Below are 17,611 nucleotides of genomic sequence, written 5' to 3' on the forward strand. Positions count from 1 at the left end.
TTTCTTTGGACAGTGTTTTGCAGTCTTTCTTGTACAGATCTTTCACATCCCTGGTTAGCTGTATCCATAGGTATTTTATTCTTTTTATGGTAATGGTAAATGGGATTGCATTTCTCACTTCACTCTCAGCTTGACTGTTGTTGGTGTATAGGAATGCTAGTGATTTTTGCATGTTGATTTTGTATCCTGAAACTTGGCTAAGGTTGTTTATCAGATCAAGGGACTTTTGGGCCAAGAGTATGGGGTTGTTTCAGTTTATGATCATGTCATCTGCAAACAAGGATAGTTTGATTTCCTCTCTTCCTATTTGGATTTGCATGCCCTTTTTTTCTTTCTCTTGTCTGATTGCTCTGGCCACAACTTCCAATATTATGTTGAATAGGAGTAGTGAGACAGGGCATCCTTATCTTGTGCTGGTTTTTGAGACAGAGTCTCTCTCTGTCACCCGGGCTGGAGTGCCGTGGAGTGATCTTGGCTCACTGCAAGCTCTGCCTCCTGGGTTCACACCATTCTCCTGCCTCGGTCTCAGGAGTAGCTGGGACTACAGGCACCCACCACCATGCCTGGCTAATTTTTTGTATTTTTAGTAGAGATGGGGTTTCACCATGTTAGCCAGGATGGTCTCTATCTCCTGACTTTAGAATGCTTCCAGCTTTTGCCCATTCAGTATGATGTTGTCTGTGGGTTTGTCATAGACAGCTTGTACTAGTCAAGGTTCTCTATAGGGACAGAATTAATGAATATATATGTGTGTGTGTGTGTGTACATATATATATGCGTGTGTGTGTATATACATATTTCTATAGATACATAGGAGTTTATTAAGTATTAACTCACATGATCACAAGGTCCCACAATAGGCCGTCTGCAGGCTGAGGAGCAAGGAGAGCCAGTCTGATTTCCAAAATTGAAGAACTTGGAGTCTGATGCTCGAGGGCAGAAAGCATCCAGCACAGGAGAAAGATGGAGGCTGGGAGGCTTGGCCCATTTTGTCTTTTTCACATTTTTCTGCCTGCTTTTTATATTCTAGCCATGCTGGCAGCTGATCAGATGGTGTCCACCCAGATTAAAGATGGGTCTGCCTTTCCCAGCCCACTGACTCATATGTTAATCTCCTTTGGCAACTCCCTCACAGACACATCCAGGATGAATACTTTGTATCCTTAAATCCAATGAAATTGACACTCAGTATTAACCATCACACAGCTCTTACTGTTTTGAGGTATATTCCTTCAATACCTAGTTTATTGAGAGTTTTTAACTTGAAGAGGTGTTAAAATTTATCAAATGCCTTTTCTGCATCTATTGAAATAATCATGTGGTTTTTATCTTTAGTTCCATTGATGTGCTGAATTATATTAACTGATTTGCATATATTGAACCAACTTTGCATCCCAGGAATAAAGCCTACTTGACTGTGGTAGATAAGTTTCTGATGTACTGCTGGATTTGGTTTGCCAGTACTTTCTTGAGGATTTTTGCATTAATGTTTATCACAAATATTGGCCTGAAGTTTTTTGTTGTTGTTGTGTTTCTGCTGGCTTTTGGTATCAGGATGATTCTGTCCTCACAGAATGAGTTAGGGAGGAGTCTCTCCTCAATTTTTTGAAATCGTGTCAGTAGGAATGATACTAGCTTTTCTTTGTACATCTGATAGAATTTGGCTGTGAATCCATCTGGTCCTGGGATTTTTGTTTGTCTGTTTGTTTGTTTTTGGTTGGTAGGCTATTTATTACTGATTCAATTTCAGAGCTCATTGTTGAATTGTTCAAGGATTCAATTTCTTCCTGGCTCAGTCTTGAGGGGGTGTATGTGTCTAAGATTTCATCCATTTCTTCTAGATTTTCTAGTTTATGTGCATAAAGGTGTTCAGAATATGCTCTGATGGTTATTTGTGTTTCTGTGGGGTCAGTCGTAATATCCCCTTTGTCATTTCTAATTGTTTAGTTGGATCTTCTTTTCTTATTCATTAGTCTACCTATTTTATTAATTTTTTCAAAAAATCAACTCCTGGATTTCTTGACCTTTTGAAATGTTTTTCATGTCTCAATCTCCTTCAATTCAACTCTGATTTTGAATATTTCTTGTCTTCTGCTAGCTTTAGGATTTGTTTTATCTTGGTTCTCTAGTTCTTTTAGTTGTAATGATAGGTTACATTATATAACCTATCATTTGTAACCTATCAGTTGTAATGATAGTTTACATAATGATAGAAAAATGAGATTCTTCTAACTTCTTGGTGTGGGCATTTAGTGCTGTATGTTTTCATTTTAACATTGCCTTAGCTGTGTCCCAAAGATTCTGGTATGTTGCATCTTTGTTCTTATTAGTTTGAAAGAACTTATTGATTTCTGCCTTAATTTCATTATTTACTCAAAAGTCATTCAGGAGCAGGTTATTTGATTTCCATGGAATTGTATGGTTTTGAGTGAATTTCTTAATCTTGATTTCTAATTTCATTCCACTGTGGTCTGAGAGAGTAGTTTTTATAATTTCAGTGTTTTGCATTTGCTAAGGAGTGCTTTGTGTCCAACAATGTGATCAATTTTAGAGTATGTGCCATGTGGCGATGAGAAGAATGTATATTCTGTTGCTTCTGAGTGAAGAGTTCTGCAGATGTCTATCAAGTCTATTTGATACAGTGCTGGGTTCAGGTTTTGAATATGTTTGTTCGTTTTCTGCCTTGATTATCTGTCTAATAATATCACTGGGGTGTTCAAGTCTCCCACTATTATTGGGTGGGAGTCTAAGTCCCTGAAGGTCTTTGAGAACTTGCTCTATGAATCTGTGTGGTCCTGTGTTGGGTGCATATACATTTAGAATAGTTAGATCTTCTTGTTGAATTGAACCCTTTACCATTATGTAATGCCTTTCTTTGTCTTTTTTGACCTTTGTTGGTTTAAAGTCTGTTACGTCTGAAATTAGAATTGCAATCTCTGCTTTTTTCTGTTTTCCATTTGCGTGGTTAATTTTTCTCCACCTTTTTATTTTGAGCCTATAGCTGTCCTTGAATATGAGATGGGTCTCTTGAAGACAACATATCAATGGATCTTGTTTCTTTACCCAGCTTGCCACTCTGTGCCTTTTAATTGGGGCATTTTGCCCATTTACATTCAAGGTTACTATTGATATGTGTGGATTTTATCCTGTCATCATAATGTTAACTGGTTATTATTCAGACTTGTTTATGTGGTTGCTTTATAGTGTCACTGTTCTTTGTATTTAAGCATGTTTTTGGTGGCTGCTAATGGTCTTTCCTTTCTGTATTTAGTGCTTCCTTCAAATGCTCTTGTAAGGCCCATCTGGTGGTAACAAATTCTCTCAGTATTTGCTTGTCTCAAAAGTATCTTATTTCTTTTTCACTTATGAAGCTTATTATGGATGGATATGAAATTCTTGGTTGGAATTTGTTTTTTGTAAGAAGGTTGCGTATTAGCTGGCAATATTTTCTGGCTTGCAGGATTTCTGGTGAGATGTCTGTTGTTAGTCTAATGGGCTTCCCTTTGTAGATAACCTGACCTTTCTCTCTAGCTGTCTTCAACATTTTTTCTTTCATTTCAGCCTTGGAGAATGTTAATTATGTGTCTTGTGGATAAACTTCTTGTGAAGTATCTTACTGAGGTGCTCTGCATTTCCTCAATTTGAATGTGGGCCTCTCTAGCTAGGTTGAGGAAGTTCTCATGGATGATATCCACAAATATGTTTTCCAAGTTGCTTGCACTGTTTCATCTCCTTCAGGGACACCAATTAGATTTGGTCTCTCTAAATAATCCAATATTTCTCAGAGGTTTTACTTGTTCCTGTTCATTCTTTATTCTCTATTCTTGTCTGCCTGTCTTATTTCGGAAAGCTATTCTTCAAACTCTGAGATTCTTTCCTCAGCTTGGTCTATTCTTCTATTAATACGTTTGATTGCATTATGAAATTCTTGTAGTGTGCTATTCAGCTATGTTAGGTTAGTTACATTATTTTCTATACTGGCTATTTTGTCTGTCTGCTCCTGTATCATTTAATTGTGACTTTTAGCTTCCTTGGATTGGGTTTCAACATACTCCTACATCTTAATGATTTCCATTCTTATCCATACTCTGAATTTTATTTCTGCCATCTCAGACATCCCAGCCTGGTTCAGAACCCTTGCTGAAGAGGTGGTGCAGTCATCTGGGGGAAAGAAGGCACACTGACTTTTTGAGTCGTCAAAGTTCTTGCACTTGTTCTTTCTCATGTTTTGGGGCTGATGTTTCTTTAATCTTTGAAGTTGCTAACCTATGGATGGACTTTTTTTTTTTTCATTTTATCCTATTTAATAAACTTGAAGGTTTGATTGTGGTATAAAGTGGATTCAGCCAACTGGCTTTGTTTCTGGAAGATTTTAGGGGGCCAGTGCTCAGCTCCCAAGTCCTGGACTACATGCTCAGACTCTGGGGGACTTGCATAAGGCCCCAATTTTGTTGTCAGGCTCCTATAGGTTAAGAATCCACTGTGCTGGGGAAGGGGGCTGCTGACAAGGTGCTCCTGGACCAGCGGTCACTACACTCCAATGAGTGGTGTCAGCCAAAGCATTTCATAGTGCAGTAGCAGAAGGATACATCTTTGTTTGCATGTGCCAGCAGCAGGAGCAGCATGAAGAGGTGCATATTCATTGGCTGCAGCAGAGTGCTTGCCAGTGCTGGGGTGCCTGCCTCTGCATGTTCATTCACCACAGTGGAGTGGGCAGCATGGCTGCAGGGTGCAGGGGGCTCCTGTTGGGGACTGTGCACTCGATTAGGCTGATAGTGGTGTTAGCACATGAGTGGGGTATTCACTATTTCCTAATTTACCTTGTGATTTCTTTTTTGACCCATTGGTTTTTAAAGAATGTGTTTTACAATTTTTTCATATTTGTAGACTTTCCAGTATTCCTTCAACTGGTAATTTCTAGTTGCATTGCATTGTAGTTGGAAAAGATACCTTGCATGATTTCAATTTTATTAATTTGTTAAGATTTGTTTTGTGACCTAAAATGTAGTCTGTCCTGGAGACTGTCACACATGTGCTTGAGAAGAATGTGTATCCTCCTGTTGTTGGAAGAAATGTTCTGTACATGGCTGTTAGGTACAATTGGTCCACAGTAGTCCGCCCTTATCCTTGGTTTCTCTTTCTGTGGTTCTAGTTACTCATGGTCAAACGAGGTCTGAAAATATTAAGTGGAAAATTCTGAAAATCAATAATCAAAAGTTTTAAATTGTGCATCATTCTGAGTAGCATCTTGCTCCAACCTGTTTGGAACATGAATCATCCCTTTCTGCAGCATATCCATATTTTAGATATATTTTTCTATCTTTTCCCTTATAGCTTATGTGTGTCTTTAAAGTCTGTTGTAGACAGCATATGGATGGCTCTTGGTTTTTTGTTGTTTTTAATTTTTTATCTATTCAGCCAATCTATGTATTTTGATTAGTTTAATTCATTTACATTTAAAATACAGTTGACCTTTCTACAACATGAGTTTGAACTGTGTGAGTCCACTTAGGTATGGATTTTTTTTCAATAAATATTACACCCTGTGCCTGCCTCTCCTGCCTCCCCTTCCACCTCTTCCACCTCTTCCACCACTGCCACCCGTGAAACAGAAAGACTAACCCCTTCTCCTCCTACTCCTCCTCAGCCTACTCAATGTGAAGACAATGAGGATGAAAAACTTTATGGTGATCTATATCCACTTAATTAATAGGAAATGTATTTTCTCTTTTTCAGAATTTTCTTTCTAGAATTTAAAAGTGAATGTATTTGTACAATTTGATACTTTCATTAGCCAGCGAACATTTGGAAAAGTACAGAACAAATTGCTAACATAAGGACATAAATAACCCCACTGCTTGTTATTGTCAACTTTGTTGAAGATCAGATAGTTGTAGGCGTGTGACTTTAATCCTTGGTTCTCTATTCCATTCTATTCTATTGGTTTATGTGTCTGTTTCTGTACCACAGAAACAGGGGAGGACTTACTATTGTCATTTTTTAAATATCTTTTGGCTATTTCATTTGTCTTTTCCTCTCTTATTGCCTTCCTTTGTTTTCACTAGCTTTTTTTGTACCATGCTGTTTGGTTACTGTAGCCTTATAGTATAGTATAGTTTGAAGTTGGGTGATGTGATGTCTCCAGCTTTGTTGTTTTTTTTTTTTAGGACATATGCTGGTTTTACATCCTTACACTTCACTGAAGCCATTTATCAGCTCAAGGAGCCTTTTGGCAGAGCCTTCAGGATTTTCTAGGTATAAAATCATATCATCAGTGAAGAGAGATAATTTGACTTCATCTTTTATTATTTGGATGCCTTTTATTTCTTTCTCTTGCCTGATTCCTCTGGCTTTAACTTCCAGTACTATGTTGAATAGTAATGGTGAGAGAATGTTCTTATTAACATTTTCTATTATGTAGCTTACTTTATTGTAAGGGTACAGTACTAATAGATATAACAAACAAATATGTGTGAATTGACTATTAATGCTATTTTTAAGGCATCCAGTAAATCACAGGCTATTAGTAGTTAAGTTTAGGGAAGTCAAAAGTTGTATGCAGATTTTCAACTATGTGGGAAATTGATTCCCCTAAGCCCCATGTTGTTCAAGGGTCAACTCATTACCGATAGGGGAGGACTTACTATTGCCATTTTTTAAATATATTTTGGCTATTTCATCCGTCTTTTCCTCTCTTATTGCCTTCCTTTGTTTTCACTCACTTTTTTTGTAGTGATATGCTTTGATTACCTTCTTATTTCCATCTGTTCATCCTCTACAGGTATTTTCTTTGTGGGAACCATGTGAATTACAAAAAATATCTTAAGTTTATAATAACCTATTTTAAACTGTTAACAATTTAACTTCATACTAGTACTCTTCCACTTTACATCTCTGCCTTCCCACCCTACACACTTTATGTTATTAATGTCACAAATTGCATCTTTTTATACTGTGCATTCATTAACATCAATTTAGAGTTATTTTATGCTTGTCATTTAAATTTTATACAAGAATTAAAAGTATCTTATGAACCAACATTATGATACTACATGAGTGAATATTTGCCTATATATTTATCTTTACCAGAGAGCTTTATATATTTGTGTGGTCTTGTGTTGCTATCTTATATCCTTCCCTTTCAACTTGAAGGACTCCCTTTAGAATTTATTGCATACCAGGTCTACTGGTGATGAACTCTCTCAGCTTTTGTTTATCTGGGAAAGTCTTAATTTATTCTTCATTTTTGAAGGATAGTTTTGTGTGATGTAGTATTCTTGGTTGGCAGGGTTTTTTCTTTCTTTCTTTCTTTCTTTCAGCACTTTAAATCCACCCTCTTTTCTTCTGCAAAATTTCCTCTGAAAAATTCATTGATAATCTTCTAGAAGCTCCTTTGTGCAAGATAGTCATTTTTCTCTTGTTGATTTCAAGATTGTATCTTTGTGATCTTTGGGAGTTTGATTATAATGTGTCCTGGTGTGAGTCTTTTGGAGTTTTTGAGTTAGAGTTTGTTGAGCTCTTTGAATTTCTATGTTCATTCCTTTCCTCAGATTTGGGAAGGTTTTGGCCATTATTTCTTCAAATAGTTATCCACTTCTTTCCCTCTTGCTTTTCCTCTGGGATGCTCATATTGCTTGATAATGTCCCTTAAGCCTTTTAGGCTCTTCACTTTTCTTCATTTTGTTTTCTTTATGCTCCTTTGACTTGGTACTTTGACCTCCTTGATAGATGACCTGCTTTTGTAAATTAAAATTTTCTTAGAACACAGCTGCACCCATTCATTTATGTATTGCAAACCCTTTTGTACCTTTTGAGCTACATGGGCAAACTGTGTCATTGCAATGATATATTGGCCCACAACTTTAAGTATGGCCCACAAGCCTAAAATATCCTGGCCTTTTTCAGAAAAAAATTACCCTGATCCCTGCCTAGAAGAGTGTATCTTGTCTACAAAACAACAGAGTATCTTTTGCAAAGAGTAAGTATTATAAGGATTCTGCTTCTTTCATCCCCTAAGACAGGGGTCCCCAACCCATAGGCCATGGACCAGTACCAGTCTGTGGTCTGACAGGAACCGGGCCACACAGCAGGAGGTGAGTGGCAGGTGACTGAGTGAAGCCTCATCTGTATTTACAGCCACTCACCATCTTATATGATTTGGCCATGTCCCCACCCACCTCTCACCTTGAGTTATAATAACCCCTATGTGTCAAGGGCAGTTCCCCCATACTGTTCTCATGGTAGTGAATAAGTCTCATGAGATCTGATGGTTTTATAAATGGGAGTTCCCCTGAACAAGCTCTCTTGCCTGCCACCATATAAGATGTGGCTTTGCTCCTTGACAGCTTCCACCATGATTATGAGGTCCCCCCAGCCATGTGGTACTGTGAGTCAATTAAACCTCTTTCCTTTATAAATTACCCAGTCTCAGGTTTGTCTTTATTAGCAGCATGAGAACAGACTAATACAGTAAATTGGTACTCGTAGAGTGGGGTGCTGCTATAAACATACCTGAAAATGTGGAAATAACTTTGGAACCGGGTAATAGGTAGAGGTTGGAACACTTTGGAGGGCTCAGAAGAAGATAGGAAAATGTAGGAAAGTTTGGAACTTCCTAGAGACTTGGAGGGATCAGAAGACAGGAAGATGTGGGAAAGTTTGGAACTTCCTAGAGACTTGTTGAATGGCTTTGACAAAAATGCTGATAGTTACTTGGACAATAAAGTCCAGGCTGCAGTGGTCTCAGATGGAGATGAGGAACTTGTTGGGAACTGCAGTAAAGGTCACTCTTGCTATGCAAAGAGACTGGTGGCATTTTGCCCCTGCCCTAGAGATCTTTGGAAATTTGAACTTGAGACAGATGATTTAGGGTATCTGGTAGAAGAAATTTCTAAGCAGCAAAGTGCTCAAGATGTAACTTGGGTGCCGTTAAAAGCATTCAGTTTTATGTATTCACAAAGATATGGTTTAGAATTGGAACTGATGTTTAAAAGGGAAGCAGAGCAGAAAAGTTTGCAGGCTGACGATGCGATAGAAAAGAAAAACCCATTTTCTGAGGAGAAATTCTAGCTGGATACAGAAATTTGCATAAATAACAAGGAGCTAAATGTTAATCACCAAGGCAATGGGGAAAATGTCTCCAGGGCATGTCAAAGGTCTTGGCAACAGCCTCTCCCATCACAGGCCCAGAGGCCTAGGAGGAAAGAATGGTTTCATGGGCCAGGCCCAGACCCCCCACCCCGGCTCTGTGCAGCCTAGGGATTTGGTGCCCTGCATCTCAGCTACTCTAGACATGGCTACAAGGGGCCAAGGTACAGCTCAGCCGATGGCTTCAGAGGGTGCAAGCCCCAAGCCTTGGCATCTTTCATGTGGTGTCGAGTCTTCGGGTGCACAGAATTAAAGAACTGAGGTTTGGGAACCTCTGCCTAGATTTCAGAGGATGTGTGGAAATACCTGGATGTCCAGGCAGAAGTTTGCTGCAGGGTTGGGGCCCTCATGGAGAACCTCTGTTAGGACAGTGCAGAAGGGAAATGTGGGGTTGGACCCCCCACACAGAGTCCCCACTGGTGTACTGCCTAATGCAGCTGTCAGAAGACAGTCACCATCCTCCAGACCCCAGAAAGGTAGATCCACCATGAGTTTACACCATGCACCTGGAAAAGCCACAGACACTGAACTCCAGCCTGTGAAAGCAGTCAGGAGGGAGGCTGTACCCTGAAAAGCCACAGGGGTGGAGCTGCCCAAGACCATAGGAGCCCACCTCTTCCATTAGCATGATCTGGATATGAGACATGGAGTCAAAGGAGATCATTTCAGAGCTTTAAGATTTGGCTGCCCAACTAGATTTTGGATTGCTTGGAGCCTTTAGCCCCTTTGTTTTCACCCATTTCGCCCCTTTGCAATGGGAGCATTTACCCAATGCCTGAATGTCCATTGTATCTTGGAAGTAACTAACTTACTTTTGATTTTACAGGCTTATAGGCAGAAGTGACTTGCCTTGTCTCCAATGAGACTTTGGACTGTGGACTTTTTAGTTAATTCTGAAATGAGTTAAGACTTTGGGGGACTGTTGGGAAGGCATGATTGGGTTTTGAAATGTGAGGACATGAGATTTGGGAGGGGCCAGCAGTGAAATGATGAGGTTTGGCTGTGTCCCCATCCAAATCCCACCTCGTATTGTAATAATCCCCATGTGGAGATTATTGAATCATGGGGGCAGTTTCCCCCATACTGTTCTCATCATAGTGAATGAGTCTCACAAGATGCCCTGGTTTTACAAATGGGAGTTCCCCTGCACAAGTTCTCTTGCTTGCTGCCATGTAAGATGTGACTTTGCTCCTTATTCACCTTCCATCATGAATGTGAGACCTCCCCAGACATGTGGAACTGTGAGTCAATTAAATCTCTTTGTAAATTACCCAGTCTCAGGCATGTCTTTATTAGCAGCACAAGAACAGACTAATACACCATTGCTCACACTACTGCATAAGCTCCACCTTCTCTCAGATCAGGGGTAGCATTAGATTCTCAAAAGAGCACAAATTCTATTGTGAACTGTGCATATGAGGGATCTAGGTTGTGCACTCCTTATGAGAATCTAATGCCTGATGAGCTGTCACTATCTCCCATCACCCCGAGATAAGAGTGTCTAGCTGCAGGAAAACAAGCTCAGGGCTCAACTGATTCTATATTATGGTGAGTTGTATAATTATTTCATTATATATTACAATGTAATAATAATAGAAATAAAGTGCACAATAAATGTAATGCACTTGAATCATTCCAAAACCATCCCCTCCTCCATGGGCTATGGAAAATTGCCTTCCATGAAACCAGTCCCTGGTACCAAAAAGGTTGGGGACTGCTGCCCTAAGAGGAAATGAATAAAACACAGTAAAAACAAAGAAGAATTTGCAGGTAAATGCTGAGCTTCAATCATCCCACAGGATTTGGACAAAAACTGGTTCAAGGGTGTAGCTCTCCTGGTTAATAAATGTGCTTTACTCTTTACTCATCATATTTTGGAAACCTTCAGGCAATGATAGATTAATTGACCCCATGGCATTTAAGTTAGATATGGAACTATAGCAAAGAAAATTCTTGATATAATATACGTAAGTTTTTACACAGTATATTTGTATATAATTACTTCTAAGTTTCATGACAGAAGTCCTTCAAAGAAATCAAGCTAGTTGAAACATTGCAATATGAAAAATTCTCTTGAGGCCTAATGGGTTTTCATTGACTTCAAAATGATTTACAGATCAGATTGCCTAGTTTTCAATATTGGATACTTCCCTTTTATTACACTCACTTTTCGCATTCCCATACCTTTGTCTCTCTTCTCAATGTGTTATTCTTCTGTTAATTATCCTTAGCATCAATTCTTCTCAAATGATGCAATTTCTACACTTGTTTTCCTATATGCTGCATTAACTGATTTTTTTCCCATTCACTTCCCCACCTCCAGACATGATGTATATAAATCACTGAATGGCTAATGAAAGCCCAGGTTCTATTCTTGGGTTTGCCACCATCTATCTTTGTAACTTAAGGATATCTTATTATTCCATGAGTGTTAGATTCACCTGAAGCAGAGGAGATTGACCCAGCATCTCTAAAATACGTCAAAAATGTGTGGATAAGATAAAATTTAAACTATTTGCTTCTCAGCAAGAAACGTAACAAGTAACAGGTGTTTTAGAAGCTACGAGTGCAATGCTTCACAGCAATATACCAGATGTATATGGGCAGATTATCTTCAGAGCTGCCAAGAAGATGCACAGAGGCATTTCCATCAAGGACTACAAACCATGAACTAAGCTCTTCCAGCCATATTGCCAGACATGCCTCTAGAGCCAACAAAACTGGGTCTGATTTAACATAATTCATCATCCCTATTTTCTAAGAAAATACATGCTGTAGACTATAAAATATATGGAATTTATATAAAATATAATTTATTAATTTTGTATAGAATTATATAGAATTTATATAAAATATAAATCTTAATTTTGGATTATTAAATACATGATATAATTATGTAATGTCATACACAATAATTGTATGTATTTTACTTCAATTACTTCCAATTGGTTTGTAGTTTAATTTTAAGAGTACAGAAGAACTGCAGGCACATTAGTCTCCAGTTCCTGCCTCTGCCCTCTCTAATTGATATGTCCTTGTCCTGAGCTTCTAGCTCATAGAAGCAACTAATTTTCCTCTTCACAGATATGGCTACTAATTATACCAATTCCTAACACTGGATCCAGGAAGGCCCATCCATATTGCATCCAGCAACTCATAGGGTAGCCTGATTAAAGGTAATTCATTAGCTAGTCAATTACTTGCATTGCTCTAGAACTCTGAGTAGAGAATATGGCCATGCTCAAAGAAGGAAACAGAGAAGATGAACAGTAAGAAGCACTGTTGCTATCACTGGGGCCCTATGAGTCATGAAAGGAGGTAAAAGAATTAGCGTGTACTACTTCTCTACAACCCTGCAATGATTTCCCACAGCTTCTTAGAAAACTCAAGCGTCTTTCCTCTGACAAAAGGCTGCAATACACTTGACATTTGTCTGTCTCCCACATCTCACTCTGTCTATTCTCTCCATTGCTCCTTACACTCCAATCATACTGTTTTCTGATTTTGTTGTTGTTATTGTCTTTCTTGTCTTGAATAACTGTGTTTGTTATAACTTCTACCTGGAATATATCTCCTTGCATGGTTGGCTGCTTTTCATTATTCAGAAGTTAGCTTATATGGCACTTGTTCTCTTACTATCCAATCTACATTAGAATCTTCCTAGTCATTCCCTAACCCATTGGCCTGTGCTTCCCTTCTGCTAAATTAGATTTTTTCCTTTTTTATTGTCTATCTCCTCCTACCAGAAAAAAGTACATGAGAGACGAAGGGCCCTTAATTGTATTATTTTTTGTTGCATCTTCATTGACTAGAACAGAGAATGGCATTAGTATTCATGAATTACTAATAGAATAAATACATGAGCGAAAAGATAATAAGATAATGAGACCCTAATACTGCCCTGTATCTGATGGATTTCTGATTTCAGTTCCAGGCTACATGTATTCTTACAATAGATTCACATTTTTTTAAGTGATTTCCATTTCTGCTCCTTGCAACCAAAAGTCATCATATACTTGAGACTCTGTGTGACTTTGAGCAACAGGTCATCAACCACCACACCCCCAAACTGGAGCCTTCTCCCACACTGGGCACATTCCCAAAACAGCCCTGTGGATTCTCCACATGTTTCTATAACCGGTCATACGGGATTTCTAATTAATTTGCACAGACTTTGATTTCATACAATTTTTGGAGGACAGAAAATATGCTTTTTATAATCACATTTTATTTTTGCAGTTGGCTGAGTTTATATCCTGACATTCTTGGTTTTCTAATTTCATTAATTTGTATTCTACCACAGCTGGTAGTCTACTGGGAAGTTTGTTTTTTAACTTCATGAACTTTGTTAAGGTAGAGAGATTTTAAATATGGCAAAAAAAATTACTTTTCAAACTAAACGTATTCATTAGTAACTTAAAGTACATAGTATTACAAATAATGAGTTTCAATATCCAATTGTAACTCCCTGTGACAATGAAAGTTGTGACTAATTGAAGATATACAATGAGGTGTTGATTATCTTGAAGATGCCCTTGTGGAAGGAGTAAGGGCTAGAGGCATCTTTTTTATTTCTAAGCCCTCATAACTATCCTCAACTATTTTTAGGTTTTAATACTGTGATCCCAAAGCATTCCATTCCCATCTAGATGTGCTCAGCATCTTTAACTACACTGCCCTCCACCTGTATAGAGTTGAGGCGCCCAATACCTAGAAAAGTTCCCTTCTCTCCATGTACTAATAATTTCCAGGAATTTCTCCAGAATCTGGTTACTCTATCCTCAACTACTCTAGTTTTTTAGGATCTGGTTCTTGCTGGTTTTTGACTTTTGGCCTGCCCCTTCAGACTTAATTGGTTCCATAGCTTGTGTTCACCCAAATTTTTATTTTTAGTTTATTCTACACCTTGCAGCTAAGAGTCATCCCTGTCCACTTCCATACAAAACCCAACTTCCTGAAGCCCAGCAGGGACCCAATGCAAGGCCCACCAATTACTTGGGAGAAGAGTTCAGATAAATTTTCCTGTATCCCATTACAAATCATTATCAGGTATAATTGCTTCAAAGTAATAGAACAACTGTGTAATACTAAAAAATTTACAGTGAAACACACTACTCTCACCGAGTTTCCAGGATCCATTCCATTTATTCACTACTGGGAGAATAGGAAACATTTTATTCATGTCTCTATGGGTAACGAGAGAAGTTGAAAACAGTACAGGAATGGACTAGGGGGCTGGCAATGGAAATGTAAAGGAAAAGATAGGAGTGAGAGATGCTAGAAATGAAAATGTGATAAGGACCTGGCTGTTATATATATATTAGGCACAAAGGAGACAAAACTTTCTACAATAATGACAATTTTTCCAACTTGAATGATTGAATGCTTCATACCAGTAGCAAATAGGCAAGTGAAAAGGAGAACAAGAGCGGAAGGAGTTGATAATTAAGGCAATTATTTAAAAAGTAAAACACATAGTCAAAAATATATTTAGTTGTATATTTTTAACTAATGTGGGAGTGGTCAGAGAAAATGACTATATCAACTCATTTATCCCTGAATGAATGAGTTGTACACTAAAGAGACAAATGAGACATAATCTCTCTCTCTGCTGGCTCTGGGACCCTTTCTGCCACCTCCTATGAACTTTCCTTTCCCAGACTACAACTCATATTTTAATCTACACCTTGGGCTCTGTTAACTAAGATGAGCATAAGGAAAAAGAACGCAGAAATTAAAGAGAAAAGAAGTGCTCAACGAGTTAAAAGAATCAAGCAAGTGCAACGTTACCCCAAGCCAAAATATAAAGGAACTTCAAGAGAAAGAGAGCAGAAAACAATTTGAAGTGCTAGAGATTTCAAAGCAAATGCATTTGCAGCTTGAAGATTACTAGATAGTCAATAATTAGATATAGCAGGAAATGGGGGAAGTATTGCTGTATAACAAAGAACTGACTGCACTTGCTTTTTCATTCTATGGTGATAGTATTCATTTTGGGAAAAGGTTCTACATATAAGAAAGTAATTCAGTGATCGTTTTGAGTGCATGTGTGAACAAAAAGGGCACTTTCTACCCTTAAAAGAGGGTTAAAAAAAAAAAAAAAAAACTTAATTTCTATGCAAAGCAGAGTGGAAAAAAAACACCAAGGATCGGCCAGGCACAGTGGCTCACACCTGTAATCCCAGCACTTTGGGAGGCCGAGGCGGGTGGATCTCTTGAGGTCAGGAGTTCAAGACCAGCCTCGCCAATATGGTGAAACCCCGTCTCTACTAAAAATACAAAAATTAGCCGGGCATGGTGGTATTTGCCTGTAATCCCACCTGCTCAGGAAGCTGAGGCAGGAAAGTCACCTGAACCTGAGAGGCGGAGGTTGCAGTGAGCAGAGATCACACCACTGCACTCCAGTCTGGGCGACAGAGTGAGACGCTGTCTCAAAAACAAAACAAAACAAAACAAAACAGGAAGAAAGAGTGGATCAAGAGCCTGGAGAGAAAATTAAAATTAATAAATAAATAATGATAAATGTGAAGATGAGCTAGGTAAAGAAAGAGCCCTAGTGCCAAGCTAAAGGCCTTAAGAAGAGAGGAAGCTGATGCCCTATTTTCAGCAATGGCTGATAAATTTTTGAGACTGTAATGCCTGATAATAAATTAATGTCCACATGGATTTTACTGTAGCTATTCATAAGAGAATGAAGAAATTAGGGTGGTGTCCACCATAGGGAAGAGTCAGACAGCAAGAGAAAGAATCTTCAAGTACTGAGAGTGATGATTAAGAAGAAAATTACTGTGTGGTCCAATAAACAGATATCAATCTCCCTGAAATCCACAATAATATCAGTAATAGTTTCAAAACTTTATACAGTGTTGCTATAGATGGAATATTTGTATACCCTCCAAAATTCTTATGTTGGGGCCTTGATCTTCAATGTGATGGTATTTAGAGGTGGGGCTTTGGGGTATAATGAATGGAATTAATGCTCTTGTATGAAAGAGACAAGAGAGAGATGGTCTCTCTCTCAACCATGTGAGGACACAGGGAGAAGGTGGAGGTCTGCAAACCAGGAAAAGGGCCCTCACCGGAAACTAGACCATTCTGGTCACCTGATTTTGGACTTTCATCTTCAGAACTGTGAGAAATAAATGTTTGTTGTTTAAGTCACCTACTCTATGACATTTATTATAGCAGCCCAAGCTAACTAAGGCAGGGATAGAGTCTTGTGCCAACATATTTGGATATTAAAATAAAGGGTGATCTTCAAAGTCTAGAGAACTTGATGACACCAAGTCAGTTGACTCTTGGGCTATAATAGTTTCACCGTTTGCGCTTTTGTTTTTGTAATCAGTGTTGCCAGCAGATGCCTGTACTGAGCAGGTAATGGCTTATTTGGTGTCATTTAAGGAATTAGTCTCCGCTTAAAATTATCTCCCTACACTTTGAGTATTACAAGTTATAGATTAATGTGTATAGGAAAATATCAGTCATGTTCACATTGGTCTAAAAATTAGTTAAAACAAATTCTCCTTCCTCTAGAGGCTAGCTAAGACTATTTGAAAGTTTGGATGAGAAGAAACAGGGGAACGAAATAAGACACTGGGAGATGGAAACCCAAGCTATGGCAAGGAGAAACTTTCAGGGCCCAACAAGTGGCACTAATGCCCTGGGTGCTGGAAATGATGAGGTAGAGTGAGAGGAGATGGGTGTAATGGTGCCAAAGATAATTCCAACTATTTAGAAATTTTACCTAGAACACTGCATTTTTAAAAAATAATAATTCAAATTGTCAATTTCCCCATCATTCATTTTTTCTTAACCATTTCTGCCTCTTCACTTTCTGTTCTTCCAAAGTGATCTTTAATTATTTGTTTCAGCTCTCTCTCCTTTCTTTTCTTTCTCTAGATGTCTCAACAAGCTGAGAAATGGTTAAATTCAAACTACAGGAAAAGGAGGTGAGATTAACAGAGTGACTTGTCAGCTAGTCAGCATTGAGAAGCCTCAAATCCCAGAATCCGACAACATTTTTCCTGGATTTTGACCATAGTCTCTGTTTAGTTCACAGACAACCTATCCATATATAGTCAACTCTTCAGTAATTACACTCAGAAGATAGACTTTGAGACTCATCCAAGAAGTAAAGGGTCACATTGTCTTCTGAGTTTAATTTCTCACCTCAGCTGTTTATTTGCTCTGAATAAAGCCTGTGGGATTAGAAAGGGAATCAGTTACATATCCCAAAGCAACTCTTTTAGCTACAGCAATCAGTCCGAGTTCCTATCTTGAGTTTTAATGACGATTAACATCTCTATGATCTTCTGTGTTGGACTGAATTCTATCTAAGGAGAAAACTTGGTAAAATATTTTAAAGCAATCACAAAGCTATTGCTCGGAACAGGTGTGAGTAAATTATAGCCCACAGGCCAAATCTGCCCTGTTGCCTGTTCTCATAAAGTTCCATTGGAACACA

At 38.4% G+C, this 17,611-nt stretch overlaps 1 annotated feature.

Annotated features, from left to right (window-relative positions):
• Window positions 350-514: a silencer, noted in NCBI's record as "fragment chr6:19507481-19507645 (GRCh37/hg19 assembly coordinates)". NCBI's record gives its function as "represses an EF-1alpha promoter that drives an FKBP-Casp9 reporter gene in an ReSE screen in HepG2 liver carcinoma cells {active_cell/tissue: HepG2}" and the evidence as "EXISTENCE:reporter gene assay evidence [ECO:0000049][PMID:32094911]".

Source organism: Homo sapiens, chromosome 6 (genome assembly GCF_000001405.40).
Source record: "Homo sapiens chromosome 6, GRCh38.p14 Primary Assembly".
Taxonomy (NCBI): Eukaryota; Metazoa; Chordata; class Mammalia; order Primates; family Hominidae; genus Homo; species Homo sapiens.